The sequence below is a fragment of the Homo sapiens genome, chromosome 1 (genome assembly GCF_000001405.40).
Source record: "Homo sapiens chromosome 1, GRCh38.p14 Primary Assembly".
Classification (NCBI taxonomy): Eukaryota; Metazoa; Chordata; class Mammalia; order Primates; family Hominidae; genus Homo; species Homo sapiens.
Window position 1 is genome coordinate 230717385 of NC_000001.11, and position 27727 is coordinate 230745111.

General features: G+C 44.6%; 1 protein-coding gene across 1 annotated transcript in view, besides 1 other annotated feature; it reads right to left on the reverse strand.

Annotated features, from left to right (window-relative positions):
- Positions 1 to 27727, reverse strand: part of AGT (angiotensinogen) — a 43061-nt gene that overhangs the window by 14862 nt on the left and 472 nt on the right. The gene's annotated exons all lie outside the window — the stretch shown is intronic.
- Positions 7959 to 8253: a silencer, noted in NCBI's record as "tiled region #2465; K562 Repressive non-DNase unmatched - State 22:ReprW". NCBI's record gives its function as "represses a minimal TATA promoter and a strong SV40 promoter by Sharpr-MPRA in K562 cells {active_cell/tissue: K562}" and the evidence as "EXISTENCE:reporter gene assay evidence [ECO:0000049][PMID:27701403]".

Sequence of the window (27727 nt, forward strand, 5' to 3'; positions counted from 1 at the left end):
AAACTCCTCTCTCCAGCAAAACTAAACCAAACCAGGAAAGCAGATTATTTATTTATGTATATGATGCAATCAAACCTGGAACCAGCTGTATGAGGTAAGGAAAGAATGAAGGGTAAATACAGGAATGGGGTTTCCATTTTTTGCCTCTGAGCCAAAACTAATTGTTTCACAGGAGCCTTGTTCTCTGCTGGGATCAGAACTGCAACCCCACATCATGCCTTGGAAGAGGCATGTGAGCCCTGAACATCATTTACTGGAAAGCAGGAAGAGGGGTGGAGCCTACTGTCCTGCATCCCATGATGGATCCTTGAAGTTCCAAGTTTTCCTTGCATGACAAGGACACTTCCCAGCATTTCTGGTCCTCATTGCTGCCCATCTATATCATGGGGGCTGGAACCGGGCATTTGGAGCTCTCGATTTGTAAAATGGGCTCATTAGGGAAAAGTCCATTTCTTTCCAATAAAGAACACTCAAATACAAACAGAATTTTCTTAAGTTGGCTCACATGGGCTTTAGACTCCTGACAAATAAAACAAAATAGTCTGAGCTCCCCCATTTCACCCAGGAGAAATGGCTGTATTTTTGTGTGTTGTTTTAGAGTTGGGGTCTTGCTCTGTCCTCCAAACTGGAGTGCAGTGGCATGATCATGTCTCAAAGAATCCTCCTGCCTCAGTCTCCAGAGTAACTAGGACTACAGGTGCATGCTACCATATCTGGCTAATTTTTTTATTTTTATTTTTTGTAGAGATAGGGTCTTGCTATGTTGCCCAGGCTGATCTTGAACTACTGGTCTCAAGTGATCCTCCTACCTCAACTTCCCAAAGTGTTGGGATTACAGGCATAAGCCACCATTCTCAGCCTGTTCTTTCTTTTTTAATAATAATTTTTATTGTATTTATATAAGGTGTACAGCATGATATTTTGATATGAAGATAGTAAAATGATTATGGTAGTCAAGAAAATTAACATATCCATCATCTCACAGTTACTCATTTAGGTGGCAAGGACACGTAAAGTCTACTCTTTTAGCAAAAATCCCAAGTGCAATGTGACATTTTTAAGTATAGTCCTCATGTTGTACGCTGGATCTCTAGACTTGTTCATCGTATATATCTGCTGCTTTGTATCATTTGACCTACATCTCCTCCCTGCTCTCCTCCTCAACTCCTGGTAACCACTGTTGTATTCTCTATCTCTGTATATTCACTTTAAAAAAAAAAAAGATTCCACATATAAATGAGGTCATGCAGTATTTTCCTTTCTGTATCTGCCTTGTTTCATTTAGCATAATGTCTTCCAGTCATCCATGTTGTAGCAAGCGGCACAGTTCCACACCGCTTTTTTTTTTTTTTTTTTTGTGAGACAGGGTCTCACTTTGTCACCCAGGCTGGAGTGCAGTGGCACAATCATGGCTCACTGCAGTCTTGACCTCCCTGGCTTAAGTGATCCACCCACCTCTGCCTCCCTGGTAGTTGGGACTACAGATGCATGCCATGACACCTGGCCAACTTTTTTGTACTTTTTTGTAGAGACAGGGTTTCACCATGGTGCCCAGGCTGGTCTCAAACTCCTGAGCTCAAGTGATCTGCCCACCTCAGCCTCCCGGAGTGCTGGGATTAAGACATGAGCCACCATGCCTGGCCTTTATGCTTTTTTGAAGGCTGAATAGTATCCCATTGTGTGTATACAGTATGCCAAATCTTTATCTATTCATCTGTTGACAGACAGAAGTCGTTTCCATATCCTGGCTATTGTGAATAATGCTGCATTGAACTTGGGAGTGCAGATATTGTTACTAGGTGTTGACTTTATTTCCTTTGGTATATTCCCAGATGCCTGCTCCTCCTATTGAATCCTTTTAGACATCACCTGATACCTCGGGCAGTGCCCTATGGACTGCTGTTGATTCAGACATAGCTGTCCATGAGCTGGAGGAAAACGGTCATATAAGATAAAGTTCTGGGAAATTTTGTGATTGCAGCACATTTCTTTCTATTTTTTATTATTATTATTATCATTATGTTTTTTTTTTTTTTTTTTTGAGACGGAGTCTCGCTCTGTCGCCCAGGCTGGAGTGCAGTGGCGGGATCTCGGCTCACTGCAAGCTCCGCCTCCTGGGTTCACGCCATTCTCCTGTCTCAGCCTCCCTAGGAGCTGGGACTACAGGTGCCCGCCACCATGCCCAGCTAATTTTTTGTATTTTTAGTAGAGACGGGGTTTCACCGTGTTAGCCAGGGTGGTCTCGATCTCCTGACCTCGTGATCCGCCTGCCTCGGCCTCCCAAAGTGCCGGAATTACAGGCATGAGCCACCACACCTGGCTAATTGCAGCACATTTCAAAAGTTATAACCAAGCCAATGGCTTTTCTTGTCAACAGTTGCAGATTTATAAATAAGAAATGAGTCGTTTACCTCTATCAATGTCAACATTAGCTGACATAATTAGTGAATCCAGTTTCAGGTACTTATGAAAAATGGTGTTATCAAGCAAAAAGTGATTGCTGCCTGATGCACTAGAAGCCAGTGCTATGACTCTGGGTTTTTGACAAAAGAAAAGCTTTCTATTGCAACAGGGGTCAAGCTCAAACCTGTCTCCCTGAGATGGCTTTAAGGCAGGGCATAATTTTATTAGAAAAGGTTTAGGGGGTGGATATTGGGATTGTAGGTGATTAGTGAAAGGAAAGGGGAGGCCTAGAAAATCCTCAGGTTTGCACAGTTATCTCTTCATGTTGCCTCAGGGGTCCCATGAGAAAATTTCAAGGGGTTAATATGAAACACGTGGTAGAAATTCGGGCCGTGACTTCACCAAGCTCACTGTGTGCAAACTCCAGTTGGCCATGGTGGTTCCAACTGATTTCTGCTAGTTTTATCTCACAAGCAGAGGGAGTTTCAGCATTTGAGCAAGTTGTTTCTTACCTTGCAAACTCAAGAATTTCTGTTAGTTACTGACTTCTTTAATCCTTTAGGGCACAATTTCAGTGGTAATAATCTGTTGGAGGCTGACTACAACCCCCTATTCCCTACCCCTTTCCCCTTTGTCCACATCCACAGATAAATTGAGAAAATGAAACACTCACTTTCCTACTAAGGGCAGGAGGAGGCAGCCAAATGCCTAGGCAGATGGGGCGGGTCCCCGGTGAAATCCCGCCTCCAAGCTGAAGACAGTTTAAAGCCTGAAAGCCAAGCTACAACTTAAATCCTTGGACCAGATTGAGAACTTGTCTTCCTGTTTGGTGTGCTTTCCTCTGATTGATCCCCACCCTTCACCTATTTTACATATACCTGTCCTTTCCTAACTGATTTTCTACACTGTCATGCCCACCTTTGAGTAGAGTCTTTGCTTTAACCTTTTTTGCATACTCATAAACCAATCAACACATACTCCCCATTCTGAGTCCATAAAAAGCCCCAGACCCAGCCACATGGGGGACTTTCCCACCTTCTGGTAGGGAGACCACCCCTGCATCCCCTCCCCACTGAAAGCTGTTTCATTGGTCAAAAAAATTCTTCTCCATCACCCTCACCCTTCAGAGTTCAGCACAGCCTCATTCATTCTGGGCGTGGGACAAGAACTCAGGAACTGGTATACAAGCCAGACCTGGCCCAGGGGGGCCGATTGGGTGAGGCACCTCCAGGGACAGGTAGTGTGCCCCAAGCAAGGCCTCCAGCATCACCAGCAAGAGGTCCCTGACTGGCAAAGGGACCGAGAAAAATCCTGCATCACTGCTCTCCTCTGTAACCATTAGTGGTCAAGTAAGATAGTTCTGACCAATGAGACAAACAGAAATCTGTTGAGGGCTTTTGGGAGAGCTTTCTCTGTCCTTTTATCAGCAGAGTCAGTGGCTCAGACACTAACCCTTCTTCCTCCTTCAAATGTTGATGTAATGTCTGGAGACAAAACAGCCATTTTGCAACCATGAGGCAACAAGTGTAAGGACCAAAAGCCAGCAAGCAAAGAATGATAGAAAACACCTGGGTTTTTGCTTGGCATATAGAGTTATTTAAACTAGTACAAATGATTGCCTATCTCTGCACTATTGTGTGAGTACTATTTGCAGCATTTTTAGGCAAGTAAATTAGTACTGCAGAGAGTGGGACACTGCTGTAAAGATATCAAAAAATGTGGAAGTAACTTTTGAACTGGGTAGCAGGCAGAGGTTGGAACAGTTTGGAGGGCTCAGAAGACAGGAAGATGTGGGAAAGTTTAGAACTTCCTAGAGACTTGTTGAATGGTTTTGACCAAAATGTTGATAGAGATGTTGACAATGAAGTTCAGTCTGAAGTGGTCTCAGATGGAAATAAGGAACTTATTGGGAACTGGAGCAAATGTCACTCTTGCTATGCTTTAGCAAAGAAACTGGCAGCATTTTACCCCTGCCTTTAGGATCTGGGGAACTTTGAACTTGAGAGAAATGATCTGAAATAGGAACTTATGTTTAAAAAGGAAGCAAAGCATAAAAGTTTTGAATATTTGCATCCTGATGATGGGGTAGAAAATAAAAGAACCATTTTCTTGGGAGAAATTCAAGCCAGCTGCACAAATTTGCATAAGTAATGAGAAGCCAAATGTTAATCACCAAGACAATGAGGAAAATGGCTCCAGGGCATGTCAGAGACCTTCACCACAGTCCCTCCCATCACAGGCCTGGAGGCCTAACAGGGAAAAATGGTTTTGTGGGCAGGCCTAGGGCCCGCCTGCTCTGTGCAGCCTCTGGACTTGGTGTCCTACGTTCCAACCCCTCCAGCTTAAGCCATGGCTAAAAGGGGCCAAGGTACAGCTCAGGCCATTGCTTCAGAGGGTGCAAGCCCCAAGCCTTGGCAGCTTCCACATGGTGTTGGGCCTGTGGGTGCACAGGAGACAAGAATTGAGGTTTGGGAACCTAGATTTCAGAGTATGTATGGAAATGCCTGGATGTCCAGGCAGAAGTCTACTGCAGGGGTGGAGATCCCATGAAGAACTTCTGCTAGGGCAATGTGGAAGGGAAATGTGGGGTTGCAGCCCTCACACAGAGTTGCCATTGGGGCACTGCCTAGTGGAACTGTGAGAAGACGGCCACCATCCTCCAGACCCCAGAATGGTAGATCCACCTGGCTTGCACCATGCACCTGGAAAAGCCACAGACACTCAATGCCAGCCTGTGAAAGCAGCCAGGAAGGGGGCTGTGCCCTGCAAAACCACAGGGGTGGAGCTGCCCAAGGCCATGGGACCTTGCTGCTTGCATCAGCATGACCTGGATGTGAGACATGGAGTCAAAGGCAATCATTTTGGAGCTTTAAGATTGAATGACTGCTCCACTGAATTTTGGACTTGCATGGGGCCTGTAGCCCTTCTGTTTTGGCCAATTTATCCAACTGCCTGTACCCCCACTGTATCTTGGAAGTAACTAACTTGCTTTTGATTTTACAGGCTCCTAGGCAGAAGGGTCTTGCCTTGTCTCAGATGAGACTTTGGACTTGGACTTTTGGGTTAATGCTGGAATGAATTAAGCCTCTGGGGGACTGTTGGGAAGGCATGATTGGTTTTGAAATCTGAAAAGGCATGAGATTTGGGAAGGGCCGGTGGAGAATGATACGGTTTAGCTCTGTGTCCCCACCCAAATTTCATCTCGAATTGTAATCCCCACCTGTCAAGGGAGGCACCTGTAATCCCCATGTGTCAAGAGAGGGAGGTGACTGGATCATGGGGACGATTTCCCCTATGCTATTCTCATGAGAGTGAGTTTGCATGAGATCTGATGGCTTTATAAGTGCTTGACAGTTCCTCCTTCACACACACTTTTCTCTCTTCTCCAGCCTTACAAAGATGGTGCCTCCTTCCCCTTCCACCATCATTGTAAGTTTCCTGAGGCCTCCCCAGCCATGCAGAACTGTGAGCCAATTAAACCTCTTTCCCTTATAAATTACCAAGTCTCAGGTATTTATTTAGAGCAGTGTGAAAATGGACTAATACAGGCAGTTATGTGCAGCTGAAAAACATTCTTAAATAGCACAACCTTTATTCTCACTTGGAGGCCAGAAGAACATTATTCAAGAATTCAATTCTATTAAGCACAGTATATTTCATGTTGAATTTTGGCTCCCTCTTTGTAATAGGCTTTGCTTTTTACAATTGTTTTAGTTGTTTTGTTTTTAGGGGAGTCATCAAAGTGTAGAGTATAATATTTTCCTAAGGCCAGAGCTTGTCTGCTATACCCAGATGAGGCTAGTAACTCTAAGCCATGACTGAATACCAAAGCTAGTGTCATGCTTTCCTTTCCTGTTAGTTTTTATTTTATCATCTAATATGCTCCATCCATAATTAGTCCTATGATGTGAGTCCGAGTGATTGTTCTGCTTCTATTTTCAGTAAGATAGGAAAAATGGTTATCTTCTCTTTGTCCACTCTCAAGCAGTTTTATGGTTCTTAATTTAAGTCCACAGGGTATTGAGCTCCTCTAAGAAAATTGTATATGAGCCTGGTGATATATGCATTGTTGGTACACAGAGCTTTGTATAACAGCTGTGATCCTGAAAAACTGGACAAAAAGAAAAACTTTTCCAATGTACATTCCAGGAGCTCTCTATTTATGGTAGTTCATGGTCAACCTGGCAACTAAAGAATACTCTTACTAAACAAATAATAGCATGAACATTTATCTGTTCCAAGGATTGGCAAACTACAGCCCATGGGCCAAATCTGGGCTGGACCACCATCTGTTTGTGTAAACAAGTTTTATTGCAACACAGCCATGCTCATTAGTTTATGAATAGTCCAGGATGCTTTTGTGCTACAACAGCACAGTTGAGTTGTTGCAACAGAGAACATATGAACTGCAAAGCCTGAAATATTTATTACATGGCCCTTTATAGAAAAAGCTTGCTAACCCCTAATCTATTCTGTTAACTCAGATTGTGCATGACAGAGGAGTTAGCTATAGACTTATATATTGTCCTTTCATTTAAAAATTAGCTTTAGAAACATCTACTGTATTTACAACACTTATTTAATGTATAATTTTATTATTCCATTCCTGTATGAAGGGATGACTATACTGGGAATTCTGAATATAATGACACCAAAATAATTAGACAATATGTTTTATCCAATCCATAATGAATATTATAGGTAGAAATAGTCACTTTTTCACCAATCGAAAACTGATTAAAAAGAATATTGCTGGCTAGGCACAGTGGCTCACACCTGTAATACCAGCACTTTGGGAGGCTGAGGTGGGTGAAACACTTGAGCCCAGGAGTTTGAGACCAGCTTCAGCAACATGGCAAAACCCCATCTATACAAAAAATACAAAGAATTATCTAGGTTTGGTGGCACGTGCCTGTAGTCCCAGCTTCCTCAGGAGGCTGGGGTGGGAAGATCACCTGAGCCCAGGAGGTCAAAGCTGCAGTGAGCCATGATCATGCCACTATACTTCAGTCCGGGTAACAGAGTAAGACATTGTCACAAACAAACAAACAAACAGAATATTGCTGGCAAAATTTAGATGTGCAGAATTTGAGCCTGAGACATTGGACTTGACTACAGCAGGGGAAAAATAAAACAAAAGGAAACTTTGGATCTGGCCATAAAAGAAAACTCACAGTAGCAGAAGCTATACTCAGGAAAATCTGATGGGGACAAAAATCAATTGATTAATTAGCTCTTTATTATAAGCTTTAAATGGAAAAGAATCTATCCTGATGAAAATTACTTTTCAGAAATAAAAATAGAAAATGTTTCATTAACTTTTAGAAAAATAAAAATGATTTAACTACACTACATAAAAATTGATTAAGGGATTAAATTGGTTTAATGGATTTTATTCCAGAAAATACTTTTTTGATGAAAATTCATCAGCAGCCACATAAATCTGAGTAAAATACTGTTATGTAAAATGTGAATTATCCAATGTCCTCAGTTTGTTTTGACGGGGGATGCATCCCTAGTTCAGGGATGGCCCCGGGCAGGCCTAGGGTGCTATTTCCATGTCAGTAGAGGGAAGGACCATGAAAGTAGAGACACAAAGTACCGTTTCCAAGTCTGTTATCTCCATTCAGACTTATTTGCCCTTATACTACTGCAGCAACATGTCAGTGGTCCGAACTTTGTGTGTTTGCTTTGGCACTCAGGGTTGGGAAAAGTCTACAATGAAGAGTTCTGCTCACCATTTAATAAGTTTAGATAAGAAACAGCTATCCAAATGGAAAAATATTGTCATCCTTTTCCCACCGAAGCCCCATAGTTGCAATGATATAAATATTGCTCTTGTGGGACTGAAATGCTATCTTTTGCGAAAACTGAGTTCTAGAAATAATATTTATTTAATGTTCAGTTCTTCTACAGAAAACATTGCAAAGAAATTTGGAAAGAGAAATATCAGTTAATGCCTTTCTACTGCAAAGAGAAGTAGAAGAATTCAGAGTGGATCCAAGAGGCCAGTCATGGTAGGACTGCTAGGAAAGGCTCCCAACCAGAGCCAGTAGGACAGTAGTCACTGGGATTTCTGTCACCATTAGGGCCTCCTGCCAGCCATTCCACAGAGACCTAAATGACTGAACATCATCATGAAGAGAAGTGCCCACAACAACTGCTTTGCTCACCTTAATGATAAGGATCAACTCTGCCTTATAAATGGTTCAGTGGAAATGATCAATTCACAATGTCTGGGGCTGGTATTTCTCTTAGGGACAAGGCAGTGTGTGCTATTTAGACTGCAAAATTGGAATGACTTCACTTGGCATCACGGCAGCCAGAGCCAACTTTGAATGGATCCCTGGATCTTCCAGGTGAATGGAATTTAACAAGCACAATAATAAACAAGTTATTGATGACTATGTGCCAGGACTTGTGTTAGACACTTTATATGCAATGTTCCATCTTATTCTCCCTAAGACATAGACAGTGTTATTTTCCCCCATTTTATTGATGAAGATGACAAAGAACAGAGAAGACAGATCTCAGTTAGTTAGGGAGCCAAGATTTGAATCCAAGCATTTTGTCCTCAGATACAGTTTTTAAACCAGCAAACCTACTGAAAAAAAAGTCTGAATGTCATTCCAGTCCTTCCATACCCCTTCACCCATAGGTGTCATTTTTGTCATCCTAATCCTCCAAATTTAAAAACTAAAAGAACCAAAAAAAAAAGACTTCACCTAAGATCCTAAGATGTCACTCTACTGGCTAAGGTGGGAGAGGGCTCTATTTGGCTTGCATTTACTATGTTTAAAAAAAAACATAGTAAGCATAGCTTATTGGATGACTTATATCACTTCATTACATCCTTAATCAATAGTAGGGAGTCTAATGGGTGAATGAATCTCTTCAATCATCCTTTCCAAGCATCTCTCCTCCAAAACTCAGAGAAGAGTCTTAATTCAAACTGGGAGAATCATGATCTGGAGAGGAATAACACTTAAGTGCCATTCATCTCATTCTTCCTCCTGTCTGCAGATTTGTCTAAACCCAGCAGGGCTTCCCAAAAAAGCCAGATGCTATGTCTCCCCAACCATTTGCTTCCCACCCCACACCACTCTCTCATATCTTCCAATGCTTCCTAAGAAGACGTCTGGGCTAGCTGAGTGACGAATAAAGAATTTGGATAAAATACTGGAAGTTCTCCCTTCTCCTTTTCTCCTAAGTGGTCATGTGAATGGTGACCTTCTGGAGTCAAAGTTACCATCTCTGTTTTCTACACTGAGGATATGAATGGTGGGATGTTCAGGGATGGTGGCAGGAAATTAGAACCACAGTGGGCCTTGGAGAACCCTAAAATCACACCAGGAGTGCTCAGGGATGACCCTGATGCCTAGAAAGGATTCTCTCTCCTCCTACAATGTTGAGGCAAGAGAAAAACACAACTCCCCTCAGCTTCCTGCTCCAGACATTAATGACCCCACTCTTGTCAGGAATTGTTACTTATGCCTTAACCCATGGGTGGCCCCCCAAGCCAGGGCAGGGAGATTGTCTCATGATACCAAACATCCAGATTGTGAATCCCAGATGTCCTCCCAGGAGGAAAATATCCAACTGCCCTCACTGCACTAGTCCATGATCATAACCAAAAACTATCAGACTCAACAAATATTTACTGAGGACATATAAATAGACTGCAGTTACAGAGGAGATTAGAAAATTGAGAGGGAATACTAGGGACAGATTTATGCCATTAAGTGTGAAAACTTAAGTAATATGCATAATATCTAGCAAAATTTAAATGACAAATACAGCCTCCAGAAGAAATCAAGACCCTAAGTAACTAACTAAGGAGGACATATAAAGTTCAGTCAGAGTTATGTCCCCTAAAAGGCACCATGCCTAGAATGGGAAAATGACTTCTAGGGAACCAATAATTCTCATCTTTTATGAGTAATTATTGATACCTACCCTATATAAGGTACTGACATGGGAGACATAAATTATATGACAATTTCCTGCCTTCAAGAACCTCAGTCACATTGAAGAGGTAATATTGTAACCACCCAATTAGCTCATCTTCCCCACTGCCCAGATAGAGCTGATTTATCAAGACAGGGGAGTTGCAATAGAGAAAGAGTTTTATACACATAGAGCCACCTGAACAGGACACCAGAGTTTTATTATTACTCAGATCAGCCTCCTCAAAAATATGAAGGCAGGGGTTTTTAAAAGATAGTTTGGTAGGCAGGTGGCTAGAGAACAGATGCTGCTGATTGGTTGGAGATGCAATCATAGGGGTGTGGAAAAAATGGTCCTCATATGCTGAGCCTGCTTCTAGGTCAGGGACCACAGGTAGGGGTCGTGGGTCCAGGTAAAGTCACCTGGTTTCAGAAATACAAAAGTCTGAAAAGGAATCTGAAAAGGCCAATTTTAGGGTCTAGAGTAGTGATGTTAATTATAGGAGTAATTGAGAAAGTTGCAAATTTCATGACCTCCAGAATAACGGCTGGTGATTGCTTAACTATGTCTACATCTCAGCAGAATTCAGGCCCCTCTCATTCTTTTGACCTGGTGGCCTTTCATTAGTTTTACAAAGATGACTTAGTTTTGGGAAGGTCTATCATCATTTAAACTATAAACTAAATTTCTCCTAAAGTTAGCTTGACCCATGCCCCAAAATGACCCAGGACAGTTTAGAGGTTAAAAGGCAAGAAGGAGATGGTTAGGTCAGATCTCCTCCGCTGTCATAATTTGCTCACCGTTATAATTTTCGCTAAGGAGGTTTCAATATTTATACCTGTTAAGATATAACTGGCAAAATGATAGCCACGATAATAAAATGCTGCCACTTACTGAGAACTTTTGAGGTATGGGTCACCCTTTTAAGCTTTTGCATCTACGGCCTCATTTTCATGCTTTGTAACAGTGTCCACAGCAGCATACAGAGAAGGGGAGAAAAGGTTTGTGTGTACTCTTTGCACCATAGCTCTTTCAGCACATGCATTAGTTTTGCTCTTGCCTCACATCCTCTTTTACTAATGCCAGGAAACACATCCAACACAACCTTATACTCCCTGCAATCCCTGTCTCATGGGAGTAGAGAATCCTCATAGTGAGGATTGAATTAGTTAACATATGAAAGCATTTGGAGCAGAGCCTGCCAGGCAGTGAGCCCTGGGAGAGCATTAGTTGCTATATCACTCGTGAAAAGCCTTCCGGAAATGTGGTTGTCCACTAGGAGACTGAGCAAAGACAGTCAGGTACCCATGCAGTTAACTCAGTCAGGCTAACAGCAAACAGAACTTCAAAGGCCACCTGACCCTCTCCCCTGACCCAGAAAGCCTGAGGCACCTGCCTGGTGCAGTTTCTCCACCATCTGCCATGCAGGGCACCACCATGCCCTTTGACCCCCACCTTCCACTCTCTCTCTGGACTTTCATCCGCACTCAGCAACAGCCTGTTGGCGCCAAACAGCCTCCAGCCCTAATTGCTCTTCCTAGCTCCCGGGCAGTGTTCCCAACACCTAGTAGCCACTGTAAGGACAAATGCAACTTAAAAACAAGAGGCTTAATTCTCCCGGTTGAAAATGGGGGAAGAGGTTTCCCTCCCTCTCTTATTCTCAGAGCATTTACCTTAGAAAACTTGTAATTATAAGCACTTTCTCCTCTCTTTCAAATGTATATAACATTTTTGTGAAGATCAGAGAGGACTTTTGTCAGCTTGATTACCCAGGCATGTGTTTCTCAAGGACCCGGGAGCCATCTCCTTGAAAGGCAAACATCAAGGGAGAGACAGTGGCCCCAGCTCCCAGTGTCTGTGGGAGGGTGACAGCCTGCCTTCAGTGGGCACATGCCTCCAAGCTGCAAAACTGCCTCCTGTCACAAAGATGTAAGAAGCTTGTTTTTCTCTAGATAAAGCCCATTAGCTAATACAGATGGTCACCTCAGTTGCCAGGTAAAGTTAGAATGAGCTGTGTGTGACAAGTAGTGTTGTCAAGTTCTCTTACTACTTATGTCACCCAGTGTAATGCCTACATGACATAGCTGAATTTCTACTCTTCTCTAACCTGTCTTCTCTATCTTATCTTTAAGAAACAGGAAGGCGGCCTGGGCACGGTGGCTCACGCCTGTAATCCCAGCACTTTGGGAGGCCGAGGCAGGTGGATCACGAGGTCAGGAGATCGAAACCATCCTGGCTAACACGGTGAAAACCCATCTCTACTAAAAATACAAAAGATTAGCCAGGCGTGGTGGTGCACGCCTATAGTCCCAGCTACTCAGGAGGCTCCTGACCTTGTGATCCGCCCGGCTAATTTTTGTATTTTTAGTAGAGACAGGGTTTCACCTTGTTGGCCAGGCTGTTCTCAAACTCCTGACCTCAGGTGATCCACCTGCCTCAGCCTCCCACAGTGCTGGGATTACAGGTGTGAGCTACCATGCCCGGCTATTTTTTTGTTTTGTTTTGTTTTTTATATTTTTAGTAGAGATGGGTTTTTGCCATGTTGGCCAGGCTAGCCTCAAACTCCTGATCTCAAGTGATCCGTCCACCTCGGCTTCCCAAACTGCTGGGATTTCAGGCGTGAGGCAGGGTACCCAGCCAGGATACCCTATATTTTAACCCCCTCACCTCTCACTAGACAAGAAGTTGACTTGCGGCCATGCTCCTGCTTCTCCATTCTTTGGCCATTGAATAAAGTCCGCACTGCTTGAGGCTCGCTTTGGGTTTCATGTATTGGCTTCACGATACCATCTTTAGGGGAAAAGCTGACTCAGTTGGTAACAGTTACTGTCCGTCTTGAAAACGTGTGTGGAACGAGCTGTGTCTGCTTGGCTCCATAAGCAGGTGAGCTTCCTTTCTGTCTTGGCTGTCTCTTAGCAGATTGCTTGTGGTGTGTAACACTTTCTGGTTTAATGTTTTTCTCAATAATGAGAGTGTTTTCTTTCTTTGCTACCTTTGTAGAGAGGATTTCTGGGTTGGGAGATTTTGTTTTCCATTATACTTCTCCAACAGTGCCCACAGCTGTTGAAGAAAGAAAATAACTTTTATCTGAGGGATGTGAGCCTTTTCAAATTATTAGGCCCAGATAGGCATTAAAATTAGACATCAATCGCATCCTACATGCCCCTTTTGAGCTATGTATTCATCCACTGAAACTGCTTGCTATTGCCAAGAGTAGTTATGAATTAACCTAATAATGCCTCACTGGACACTGTAAACCACACCCTATAGCTTAATAATGTATAGCCTATCACTAATCAATGTTATTTCTGGAAACCAATGAGAACTCCTGACAGAACTTTGTATCAGGCCACTCCCTGACTCCTCCCTTTTTGTTCCTTTAAAAACCTTGTGACGAAAGCCAAATGGAGTTCATATCCAAGGTCACTTGTGTCTGAGGCTTCCAGGCAGCTGTCTTTATTCTGGCTCGAGTAATATTTGTAAATCACACTTCGTGCTTCAGCCTGTCCCTTTCAGGTCCACACTGTTTACCTAGTGCAGGGGTGGCTTCTAGCGGTCCCACAGGCCTCCCAACCCGATTCTCTGCTTCCCCTCCAGCCCCCTTCCATCTGTTATCACACAGCACATAGCCAGTTATTTCTTCAGTATAAATCCATGAGATTTCCTCCCAGAGGAAAACTCCCCAAGGCTGCCCATTGCAATGAGAGGAAACTCCTGAATCCTTGCCGTGTGCAGTCACTTACACGACCTGGCTGCTGCCCTTCTCTCTACAGCCTTGGACCATGCACCTCCTTGTCCTCTGCCTTCCAGCTGTGCTGACTTCTTCTGTGTCCATTAACACAGAAACTTGGCCAGACACGATGGCTCACGTCTGTAATCCCAACACTTTGGGAGGCCAAGGTGGGTGGATCACTTGAGGTTAGGAGCTCAAGACCAGTCTGGCCAACATGGTGAAACCCCGTCTCTACTAAAAATACAAAAAATTAGCCAGGCATGGTGGCACACACCTGTAATCCCAGTTACTCAGGAGGCTGAGGAAGGAGAATCTCTTGAGCCTGGGAGGCGGAGGTTGCAACGAACCAAGATCATGCCACTGCACTCTAAACTGGGTGACAGAGTGAGACTCCATCTCAAAAAAAATAATAACAACAACAACAACAACAAAACCCACAGAAACTCAAAGCTTCCTAAGGCACAAATCTTGCTGTTCCCTCTATCCAGCATCTTTGTGCAGCGGCTCCTCATCACTCATATCTCAGCTCAAATTTCACCCGTCTGATGACCCCCAGAGAAGAGCCCTGCCCACCAACCCTATCTCACCTTATTCCACTGCACCACCCCTATCTTCTCTATAGTGACTATCATCCCATGAAATTATATTACTTATGTGCTGGTTTATGTACAGAAAGCATTATTTTTTGTTGTTTGTTTGTTTATTTGTTTGTTTGTAGAGACAGAGTTTTGCTATATTGCTCAGGCTGGTCTCAAATTCTGGGCCTCAAGCAATCATTCCACCATGGCCTCCCAAAGAGTTGGAATGATACGCATGAGCCACCGAGCCTGGCCACAGTGAGCATTTGGAGGGTTGATCTTCTTCATTGCAATATTTCCACACATAGAACAGTGTCTGGCCAGAGGTAGGTCTCACAACTCTCTGTGCCCACCAAGAGCAGGGTAGGGCTGGAATGGGATCAACCCCAGCTTTCTTGGTGAACTACAGTTGATCCTTGAACAGCACTGGGGTTAGAGGCACTGACTTCCTTCGCAGTTGAAAATGCAAGAATAACTTTTGACTCTCCCCAAACTCAACTCCTAATAGCCCACTGTTGATCAGAAACTTTACTGATAATCTAATGTTGATTAACACATATTTTTATGTCGTAGGTATTAAATACTGTGTATATTATATACTGTGCACAAAGTAAGCTACAGAAAATAAAATGTTACTAAGAAAATCGTAACAAAGAGAAAACATATTTACTCTCCATTAAATGGAAGTGGATCATCATCAAGGCCTTCATTCTTATCATCTTCAGGTTGAGTAGGCTTAGGAGGAAGAGAAGGAATTGGTCTTGCTGTCTCAAGGGTGGCAGAGGTGGAAGAAAATCCAAGAAGTGGCCCCACATAGTTCAGATCTGTGTTGTTCAAGGACCAACGGTATTTGAGGACTATACTGTATTAACACAGTGAATGCAGACAGGTACCTAAAACCATCCCAGGCACAGAGGACAAGCTTAAATAACTGATCTGTTAAAAGTCAGTCCCTGCTGGTCTCGGTGGCTCACACCTGTAATCCCAGCACTTTGGGAGGCCAAGGCAGGTGGATCATCTGAGGTCGGGCGTTCAAGATCAGCCCAACCAACATGGAGAAACCTCATCTCTACTAAAGATACAAAAAATTAGCCAGGCATGGTGGCGCATGCCTGTAATCCCAGCTACTCAGGAGGCTGAGGCAGGAGAATCACTTAAACCTGGGAGGCAGAGGTTGCAGTGAGCCGAGATTGCGCCATTGCACTCCAGCGTGGGCAACAAGATCTAAACTCCGTCTCAAAAACAAACAAACAAAAAAGTCAGTTCCTTTTTGCAAAATTCCTTTCTGATTGAAATGATACAGCATTACTATCAGCTCTGAAACTCAGTGTTTCCAAATACACTTTTCCACATTCTCCTAGCAAAATAACATCAAAGGGCGATGCTTATGAAAGCAAGTGCCCATGAGAAATGCCACAAGGAGACTCCAGTGAGCGCCTTTAGTTGAGGTCGATTTTCACTCGACAAATCACTAAGTGATTTGTTTGCCTTTGTCTACACCCTGACAGTTGTCTCATTTGCTACAATTTAACAAGTCACGCCAAAATGTCATCCTTGCTTATTGTGTGAAAACAGAAGGCACTAGAAGGACAGACTTTTCCTCTGGAGAACTTGGCAATGAAGTTCATTGAGTTGGGATGAGCTAATCCAATCATATATTACAGGAGACATACAAATGGATTTCCACAACTGTTTTCACCCTAGTCTCTGCCTGGTCATTACATTTGATTTGATGGGGCCATTTGAGCACCGCTGTGAAGACTGGAGTAGTCTTCATCTCAGCTGGTCTACCAGTCAGCCACTTCCACGTGGCTGTCTTCTGCGTGGAGACCATTTCATGTTCTTGTTCTGCCAGTCATTCAGGGACCACTACCCAAGAGGCCGGGCCCAGATGACAGTCCAGGCTCCACCTTTGTGATGCACAGAAGCCCAACTCAAGCTTCTTGAAGCTTCTCATCTTCTCACTTAGGTTGGCACATGTATTTTCTCTTTCTCTTTTATAGATGACCCTTTAACAAGTGCGGGTCCCTGGCACATACTGGAGTTTGTGTGTCATTGTGTATGTGTTATATTTACAAAAGGTGAATGCAACTCAAGTGTCCACCAACAGATAAATAGAAAGACAAAATATGACATATCCATACGATGGAATATTATTCAAGCAAAATAGAAAGGACATTCTGACATATGCTACATCATGGATGGACCTTGAAGACATTATGCTAAGTAACATAAACCAGTCACAACAAGACAAATGCTATATGATTCCACTTTTACGAGGTTCTTAGAATAGTCAGATTCATAGAGACGGAAAATAGAATGGTGGTTTCCAGGGGCTGGGGGAGGGGAGAATGGGGAGATTTTGCTTAATGGGCACAGAATTTCAGTTGGGGAAGATAAAAAGAATTGTGGAGATGGATGGTGTGATGAGTCCACAACAATGCAAATATACTTGATGCCAATGAACTGAGCACTTAGAAATGGTTAAGGTTGTAAATTTTATGTTACATGTATTTTACCATAATTTTTATATATGCATTTATAAATATATATATGGTGTGTGTATGTGTGTGTGTGTGTGTGTGTTTCATCCCTATGTACAAGGCAAGACTGCTTCCAGTGAAAAATTTAATTAATAGCTGGTAAATATAACTGGCTGGTTTTTTTGTTTTTCTTTTTTTTGAGATGGAGTCTCGCTCTGTCGCCCAGGCTGGAGTGCAGTGGTGCAATCTCGGCTCACTGCAAGCTCCACCTCCCGGGTTCATGCCACTCTCCTGCCTCAGCCTCCCAAGTAGCTGGGACTACAGGCGCCTGCCACCACGCCTGGCTAACTTTTTTTTTTGTATGTTTAGTAGAGACAGGGTTTCACCATGTTGGCCAGGATGGTCTCGATCTCCTGACCTCGTGATCTGCCCACCTTGGCCTCCCAAAGTGCTGGGATTACAGATGTGAGCCATCGCGCCCGGCCATAACTGGCTGTGTTTATCCCTGGAGGAGAGGGTCTGTGTCTATCCCTGGAGGAGAGGGTCGCTCATCGCCTCCCCGTTGCTCATGGAGGACTGCGCTTGGTACTTTATAGGCCTCCCGCCCTCCTGCAGGAGAACATTGTCAACATCACAACTGGCTGGCAGGGCCATTGTCTTTAAGGGCCTCACTGAACGCTTCCTTCCACTACCTCCCAGAGCATGGAAATCTCGCCCCGACTGCAGCGGGAGAAGGGGGCACAGTGCTGTTTCTCCTTCTTCCTTCTCGCTCCTTCTTAGAGTGGGCGAGCAACCTGGTTTCACCTTCCAAAGTGTCGTTAGTTACCTCAAGAAGGGTCATCAACTTCTCATGAGATCCTCAAACTCAATGATTTCCGAGTCATGTTTAATATTTTTACATTTTTATTTTAAAATTACAATGTAAATTAATACAGTCTTTTTTAAAAACTCAATACAGAAGTAGGTAAAGTGGCTTTTTTGTTCTCCTTTGCCCCCCTGCCCAACCCCACTTGGAGGAGGCCTGCCCCTGGTCTTAGCAGCTGGGCCCTGGGCTGACTCACCTGGTGGCCCCTCCCTCGGAGTGCACTTGTCACCCTGCTCCACCTCCTGGGAGGCTGATTACACAGATGGTGTCACAGGGCTCCCTTCCTTCCCTGGCTTCCACTCCACAGCTTCTCCTTCCCCTTAGGTTGGCCTCAGGTGACTGCATCCTCCCCCATCAGCTCCCATCCCGCCCTCCTTCCTGAAACTGCTTCTCCTTCACCCCCTCAGAGCTGTAGATTCTAGGGGTACCCTGCTGCTTCCAGCCCCCCAACTGCTCAGTCTATCATGGTCTTCCTGCCCACATCTTTGTAAATAGTTCATCGATTAAACACTCCTCCAATTGCCCCATTCAAGTGTCTTCTCAGGACCCTGCCTTTACTGTTTAAAAGAAAACAGTCCCACCTGTCATTTAGGCGGGGTTTGGGAAAGAGTGTCAAAACACAAAGGTGATGTCTTAAATCCAAAGAGTTTGCATATCTTTGCTATATTTCTTGGTGCAGTTGAAAACACATAGGCTGATTAATAATACTCAGCTCCTAAAATTATTTTCTGCTTCCAAGCTTCTGAAACACATTTATGTTTAAGGCAAAGTTTGTGTGTGTGTGTGTGTGTGTGTGTTTAATACAATTGACCCCTTATCATTTTGATCCTGAGCATAAGAATTATTTCAGCTGGGCGCGGTGGCTCACACCTGTAATCCCAGCACTTTGGGAGGCTGAGGTGGGCAGATCATGAGGTCGGGAGATTGAGACCATCCTGGCTAACACGGTGAAACCCCATCTCTACTAAAAATACAAAAAGCCGGGCATGGTGGCGGGCACCTGTAGTCCCAGCTACTCAGGAGGCTGAGGCAGGAGAATGGCGTGAACCCAGGAGGCAGAGCTTGCAGTGAGTTGAGATCACTCCACTGCACTCCAGCCTGGGTGACAGAGCGAGACTCCATCTCGAAAAAAAAGAATTATTTCGAACACTTTTGTTTCCGCAGTATTCTTGCAACATCTGGGGCATGAACACAGTTCTCAGATATAAATGGGAACGGAGCAAGGAAGAAATAGGTTACTCTGGGTGTTCAGGATTTCATTAAATGTTTTCACTACCTCAGCTTTCTTTTCCCCCTAAGTAGTCAGTGACATGGTGGTATCCTATCTAATCCAATTCTTCTAGCAGCACTTTGGGGCAAAATTTCAAAGCCCCAAAGCTCAGTTTCCTGCTAGGCTGGGCTTCGATCCCTTAAAAGGGTAGAGGTGGTCACAACTGAATGCTTCCCTGGAGTCTGTGGGAGGCATCTATCCCTTTTCAGCACCTGGATCCCTGTTGTTCTTGAGTGGAGGCTGGAAATTCTGTGAATCGGAAGCTCTGTGAATCGAAAGCTCTGTTCTCCTTGGGCTGAGAGGCAGGTACCCACTAAGCCAACCACCCTGGAGCTGGAATCTGGAGCACAGAGGTTTGAACGCTGAAGACAGCTGACTTTCAACCACAGGCATTTCTGACCCTGGTGCAAGACCATTTCTGCTCCTGCTCCCCAATCTCCCCTAGTTCTTGCTCATTTCCATGCCTGGTTCTTAGCTTCCCAGTCCATTTTCTGAGTTCCCCAAACCCTTCATCAAATACCTCTCTGCCTAGTTTATACTGATCAGACTGCATTGCCCGCAAGAAAAACCCTGACACATGCAGGAGTCATCTGCACAAAGTGCCATGCGTAGGTGACTACTAAGAATAATACTTAGAAATTGTTTATTATTATTATTATTATTTTGAGATGGAGTTTCACTTTTGTCACCAAGACTGGAGTGCCATGATGTGATCTCAGCTCACTGCAACCTCTGCCTCCCAGGTTCAAGCGATTCCCTGGCCCCAGCTTCCTGAGTAGCTGAGAATACAGGTGCCCACCACCACACCTGGCTAATTTTTGTATTTTTAGTAGAGATGGGGTTTTACCATGTTGGCCAGGCTGGTCTTGAACTCCTGACCTGAGGTGATCCACCTGCCTCAGCCTCCCAAAGTGCTGAGATTACAGGCTTGAGCCACTGCGCCCAGCCTGTTTATTATTATTATCATTATTGCTATCAAATCTCCCTTTTAGTACTACAACTTTACGAAACACTGTAGGAGGCAAAATGAGGCACAGAGCTTATTTATCTTTTTAAGATAGCTTTGAGATGTAATTCAGATACTGTACATACAATTCACCTATTTAAAGTGTACAATTCAATGATTTTTAGCATATTTAGAGTTGTGCAACCACCACCACAGTCAATTTTAGAAGATTTCATCATCTCAAAAAGAAAGCCTTTAGCCATCACCCCCACCCCTCCCACTTCACCCCATCCCCAGCCCTAAGCAACCACTAATGACTTCCTGTCTCCATAGATTTCCATAGTCTGTTGTCCTTTGTGACTTGCTTCTTTCAGTTAGCGTAATGTTTTCAAGGTTCATCCAAGGTGTAGCATTAGTACTTCATTCCTTTTTATGGCTGAATAATGTTCCACTACGTGGATATACCACACATTATTTATCCATTCATCAGCTGATGGACAATTAGTTGCTTGCACCTTCTGGCTGTTATGAATAAGGCTGTTGTAAGCATTCATGAATAAGTTTTGTGTGGACATCTGTTTTCAGTTCTCTTGACAGATACCCAGGAGTGAAACTGCTGGCTCCTACAGTAACTCTATGTCTAGTTGTTTGAGGACCTGTCACACTTTTCCAAATTGGCTGCACCATTTGACATTCTCACCAGTTCATACTTTTAAAAATTACCCACGTTAAACAAGAAATGATGTTTATAAATCAGTCATCATAATTGAACTTCATACCATGGTAGTCTCATATGTAAAAAGTGCTATAAAAATAAGTGCTTATCATGTTACTTTATGTCTTCACAGCTATGATTGTCAGTGGCCTTATAAATTATTTTTTCCTAGAGACCCAAGCTAATAAATCTCTTTTGAAAGTTGAGTCATAAAAATTGCTATGACACTTTGTGAAAGCCATAAGCTCGAAAGAGACAAATAGTTCTCTTCCTGAGCCTTCCATCCACACAAATATTAGGTATGCTTGCTGGCTAATGCTACCTTGCCAAAGGGGGAGGATACGTCATTTATAAGAATCAGAAAATGGTGCATTAAAAAGAGAAAATGGAGAGTGGGAAAGGATGAGATGCATAAAGAGATGCTGAAAATAAACCTTTACCACAAAAAGATGGGAATTCAATTAGATGTATGTCCCATAACTAAATACACAACTGTAGATGTAGGTGATAAATCAAATGAGATATTTTAAATTAAATTATTTTAATAAACCCAGTAATATTGTACACAGACAATATAAAAATCTCTGTAGTCAAAGGACTTTTAAAAAAATTACATCTCCTTCTGCTATAGAAAAACTTCACACACCTCCAGCAGCAAAGAATCTTATTTCTCAGTGGTAAGGCATGTTAGGGATACTCTTGCTACTATGTAACAGACTTTATCAATGTTCCCTCCAATTAAACATAATAAGGCCAGGTGCAGTGGCTCACATCTGTAACCCCAGCACTTTGGGAGGCCAAGGCAGGAGAATCATTTGAAGCTAGGAGTTCAAGACCAGTGTGGGCAACATACTGAGACTCCCTCCTCTACAGGTTTTTTTTTTTTTTTAATTAGCTGGGTATGACTATAGTCCCAGCTGCTCAGGAGGCTGAGGCAGAAGGATGGCTGGAGCCCAGGAGTTGGAAGCCACAGTGAGCTATGATCATGCCACTGCACTCCAGCAGTGTCTCTAAAATAAAATAATAATAATAAATGTCCAATCACAATTTCCACTATGGGGCGGGGGGTGGCTGGGAATTAAGAGTCACCTTGTCCACCAGGGTGTTGCCCTGAGCAGGGCATGAGATGGTGTGGCAGAGTCTGCAGAGCTGAGAGCCCAAAGCTGGGGACCACTGAGAAGAGCAAATGAGTTTCTGAGGTTCGGCAAGCACAGAGAAACCAGGTGGAGGGCTCATCATTAACGGGAAATGTTGGAGCCAGGCTGAGCTTCCGGGGTAATTACGGTGCATTGCCCCCGATAGGAAAATGAAACACAAGTTATGCTAGCTGTGACCCCTCCACAGCAAATACCGTAAGGAAAGAAGCTGGTTCCCAGAGACACCTCAACCAAGAAGATCCCAGAGAGCCAGAGGTCCCTGCTCCAGTGGCAGGTTTGGTAAGATTCACCCTGACCTAGATGCCACTATCAGAAGGAGGAAGGAGGAGGAAGATCACTTATTTGGGGAAAAGTGGACCTGTTACTGGAAAGGGGTCCTGATCCAGACCCCAGGAGAGGGTTCTTGGACCTCACGCAAGAAAGAATTCAGGACGAGTCTATAGATCGAAAGCAAGTTTATAAAGACGTAAAGAAAGAATGGCCACTCCGTAGGTAGAGCAGCAGTATGGGCTGCTCAACTGAGTATACTTAGGGTTATTTCTTGGTCATATGCTAAACAAAGGGTGGATTATTCATGAGTTTACCAGGAAAGGGGCAGAGGCTTCCCTGAAACAAGGCTTCCTCTCCTTTTTAGACTATAGAGGATGACTTCCTGACATTGCCATGGCATTTGTAAACTGTCATGATGCAGGTGGGAGTGTCTTTTAGTATGCTAATGTATTATAATTAGTGTATAATGAGCAGTGAGGACGAACAGAGGTCACTTTCATCGCCATCTTGGTTTTAGTGGGTTTTGGCAGCTTCTTTACTGCATCTTGTTTTATTTATCAGTGGGTTCTTTGTGACCTGTATCTTTGTGACCTGCCGACCTCCTATGTCATCCTGTGACTAAGAACGCCTAACCTCCTGGGAAAGCAGCCAGGAGGTCTCAGCCTTATTTTACCCAACCCCTATTCAAGTTGGAGACATTCTGGCTCAAACACCTCTGACAAACCTTACAGGATATTTGAACTTTGAAGTAACTGCTAGTTTACAGAGACAGAAGAAGAGAGATAGAGTAAGAGAGACCATTTTAAAATGAATAAGAGTGTCACACAACAAAATCTAAATACAAGTTTTGGTGCGAGGTGGTAACTGGGGACTCCAGAGGGCAAGAAGAGATAATATTTTTTTTAATTAGGATTTTTGGCCAGATGCGGTGGCTCACGCCTGTAATCCCAGCACTTTGGGAGGCTGAGGTGAGTGGATCATGAGGTCAAGAGATCAAGACCATCCTGGCCAACATGGTGAAACCCCATCTCTACTAAAAATACAAAAATTAGCTGGATGTGGTGGCACACGCCTGTAGTCCTAGCTACTTGGGAGGCTGAGGCAGGAGAATAGCTTGAACCCGGGAGGTGGGTTACGGTGAGCCAAGATCGCACCACTGCACTCTAGCCTGGCAACAGAGGAGACTCTGTCTCAAAAATTAGGATTTTTTTGGGCCCTAAACTGCGGAGAGTAAATTCCTATCCTGCTGCACCTGTGATTCAAGTCATCCTAAGATCTGTGCATAGCATCAACCTCCAGCTCCTAGATGAGAAGGAGAAAGGAAATCGTCTTGGGCTGAGGTCAAACTCCAGGGAAAGAAATCCCAGAGAGTTAGCAGAAGGCAGACAGGTATATTTATCATTCTTCAACAATGAATGTTTAAGGAGTGAAACTACTTCTCAGGGACGGAAGTACAATTTCAACGGTGTCACCTTAGGCCATAGGGGCAGTGATCTAGAGCTTACTTAGGGAGATTAGGCCTTGGAGGAAACTATATTCCACAATCAAGCCAGAAAGCAAGGCCAGAGCTGAGAGAAGCTATAGGCAGCTTGTGCAGCCCTGGGAAACCAGGGGAACCACCAGGTCGTCCACGAGCCTATGCGCCTACAAGCTGGGATCTCTTGAGTCAGACAGCTGAGGCCAAAGACTGGCATCACCCTGTGGAGCAGCGAGTGTGGGGGAGATTTGGGCTGGGTGCTCTGTTGCCTTTCAGGAGATGGCTCTTACCCTATGGTGTGATGCCTGAGCACGGCTCATTCCCACTGAAGAAAAGATTTGTTATGGTTCATGAATGAGTGCCCACTAGGACAGGGGTGAAACTAGGAGTGTTCCAGGGATGGACAAGTCCCTGGATGAAGAAAGGGAGACCCTCACCTGATGTCAGGCTTACCAATGACCTTGGGAGGGGATGGATAGGGAAGCAAGGTCTGGGTGAAGATCTAGTTCTCATCTTCTAGGAAATGGGGGTGGCCCTCAGGACAGATAAGCTCCTTTGCAAATGTACAGACATCTTGCGAGGAGAGATACACGGGGGAGGGAAGGCAGAGCCCACCTAGGCCAAAACATCATTGTGGGCTTTAAGTTTCAAACTAGGCTTTTAAAAGTCGACAACAGTTAAGGCTAGTGTTGTGGTGTACACCTGTAGTCCCAGCCACTGGGGAGGCTGAGGTAGGAGGATCTCTTGAGCCCAGGAGTTCAAGCCTTCAGTGAGCTATGATCATGTCACTGCACTCCAGCCTGAGTGACAGAGCAAGACTCCGACTCTAAAATAAAATTTTAAAAAATTCAACCAGGTAAATCTATAGGGTTAAAGCTAAAAAAATATAAAAGGCATATAGAAAAGTCTCCCCACATTCCTCTACCCCCATCTACTCCACCTACCCCCAGAAAACAGAACCACTATTATGAGTAGATCTTTGTGTAGTTTCCGAGAAATTTTTATGCAGATATAAATAAATATTTTTTGCCTTCTTTCTCCACAAATGCTGGCATACTCTACATGCCATTCTGCACTTTGAATTTTCTTTTTTCTTTTTCTTTTTGAGACAGAGTCTCGCACTGTCACCCAGGCTGGAGTGCAGTAGCACCATCTCGGCTCACTGCAACCTCCACCTCCCGGGTTCAAGCAATTCTCCTACCTCTGCCTCCCAAGTAGCTGGGATTACAGGTGCCCACCACTATGCCTGGCTAATTTTCTGTATTTCTAATAGAGACAGGGTTTCACTATGTTGGCAAGGCTGGTCTTGAACTCCTGACCTCATGATCCGCCTGCCTTAGCCTCCCAAAGTGCTGGGATTACAGGCGTGAGCCACTGCACCCGGCCACTTTGACTTTTCAGTTGAACACTGTATCCCAGGGACCTTCCCACATCAGTGTATGCAGAGTTTCCTTGTTCCGTTTTATGGCTGTACACTGTTCCACTTCATGATTAGCTGGACCATAATTTTCTTTACCATTCCCCCAACAGAGGGCACTAAGTGCTTTCCAACCTTTTTTAATGTAAACAATGCCACCATGAAATGAGCAAGCTGGTATACCTTTCACTTTTCGGGGTGCGGCTCTATCATCAGGATAAAGATAAATTTCTAGAAGGGAAACAGCTGGATCAGAGTGGGTGCATTGGTAGCTCTGAGAGGTATTCATAAATAGTTCTCCAAAAAGGAGACACCAATTTACACTCCCTTCAGCAAGTAGGGGGGTGTTTTACTTTTTCTTTTTGAGATGGAGTCTCGCTCCTCGCCCAGGCTGGAGTGCCGTGGCTCGATCTCGGCTCACTGCAGCCTCTGACTCCCGGGTTCAAGCAATTCTCCTGCCTCAGCCTCCCAAGTAGCTGGGATTACAGGCACCCCCACCACGCCTGACTCATTTTTTGTATTTTTAGTAGAGTCAAGGTTTTACCATGTTGGCCAGGCTGGTCTTGAACTCCTGACTTCAGGTGACCCATCTGTCTCAGCCTCCCAAAGTGCTGGGATTACAGGTGTGAGCCATTGCACGCAGTCGTCTTACTCTTAACATACCCAAAGTGTTCAACTTTTCTTCCAAGTCTGCCTCTCCTCCTTCTGTCACCACCATCACCCATTTGCTCAAGTCTGAAGGCAGGACGCCACCTTTACACCTCCACCCTTGCACCCCAGCAGAACGCCCTGACAGTACTTCTAGAAGAATCTGTCCCTTCCTGCCTTCACTCTGGTTACATCTGGAGTTAGCCTCAGCCCCTCTCACCTGGACACCTGTGCAGGTCCCCTGCCTCTCCACTCTCCACCCTCCTCGCCAGCCCACCCCATCCTCCACACTGCAAGCCAAGGGGCTACAAATGTCGCAGCCGGGTGGGCTCACTCTCAGCCCATCATAGGGCTGAGATCCCTCTGCAGGATCCAGGCTGTTTGGCATATCCCTCAAAACCCAGGCCCTGCTGTAAGGCCTGGACCGGGTGGGGTCCTAGAGGTCATCTCCCTGCACCCATGTGAAGCTTCTGAGCATTTGTCCTTGGGGTTTTGCCCCATGGCATCCCAGAGCCACCCAGGCACTATGTTCACCTCCTGCTGCCCTTCAAGATGAACAAGAAGAAGAGAAACAAAGGGAGTTCGCCACAGGCCTGAGTGTGGAGGAGACAGAGAAAGAACAGCACAGAAAAGAGAGGCCAGGAAGGCCCCAGATGCCAGGTCAGGTTCATTTCATGTAGAAATCACTTCAGCAGATTGCTCTGCTAAAGAGAAGAAAATACACTTAACATGATGCATGGCCCCCGCTTGGCTCAAAGCTGATTGCATCTCTAGGCTAGCGACAAGCTGGCAGAGCTTATTAAAAACAGTGCACATGATTCTCTGCCCAAGCTCAGAGCCCTTTCCCTCTGAGCCACTCAGGGCATTTCCCAGTGTGGGTGAGGAAGTGTGCAAGGCCTGGTAGACCTTAGATTGCATGGCTGCAGTTTCTGTAACTATTGTTCATCCTGAGAAGTGAAGGTTTGGAAAACTAAATGAAGACACCCAAGAATGCCATCTGCTTTCTTGAGGCATTGGTTCAATGTTTACTCAGCAAATGTGCATCGTGCTCCTGCCCTGCACTGGGCTGAGCTGGGAGCAGGATTAGACGCTAAGACAAAGTCATGGAGAAGTCCGGTGCCATGAGCTCTGCAGGAAAGATGGACCCAGGGCTCTGTGGGCAGACATTGGGCAGGAAGAATGATGAGGCTGTAAATCCTGAGAATGCACTCCCTCCCGCAGACATTCTCAGAGTCCCAGAGTGTTAGGGGGCAGGAGGAATTCCAGCTGTGGTTCTGGAGGATTGTTAAACCTTTTTGGTGTGTTTCCTACTCTGAGGCATGTTTGTTTTACTCACAATGATGATGCAATTCTCCAATTACCTAGCAACTATACTAAGACTCTAAAGAAAAAGGCAGGTTCTTCCAATACATAGATAAGTCCCAGGTGGAAGGACAAGACCCCAGCCTGGAGAGGTGTTTGTATCGGGAGGAGAATGAGAACGTAAATCCCTGAAGCTGGGAGTGGGTCTGGTGCTGAGCAAACCCTTTACAGTTCTGGTCAGTGCTGAAATTTACTTCAAGGTCCTTTCTCAGTTGCTGGGGCATTTGAAGGGGATGCTCCCAGAGATCTGGGCTGGTAATCATTTCCCTGCCGAGGTGTCACCAGAAATGGATGGCCCTCACATTGCCACACCTGTCTCCCTAGGTTGCCCTCCTTAATCACTTCGAAACAGAGCCGTCTGCCAGGGCAGTGGGCAATGGGACACTCCTGGGCAGCTCCATCATCTCTAGCCAAGAATCATTTGGACTGGCCAGAACTGCACTCTGGTCCCAGCCA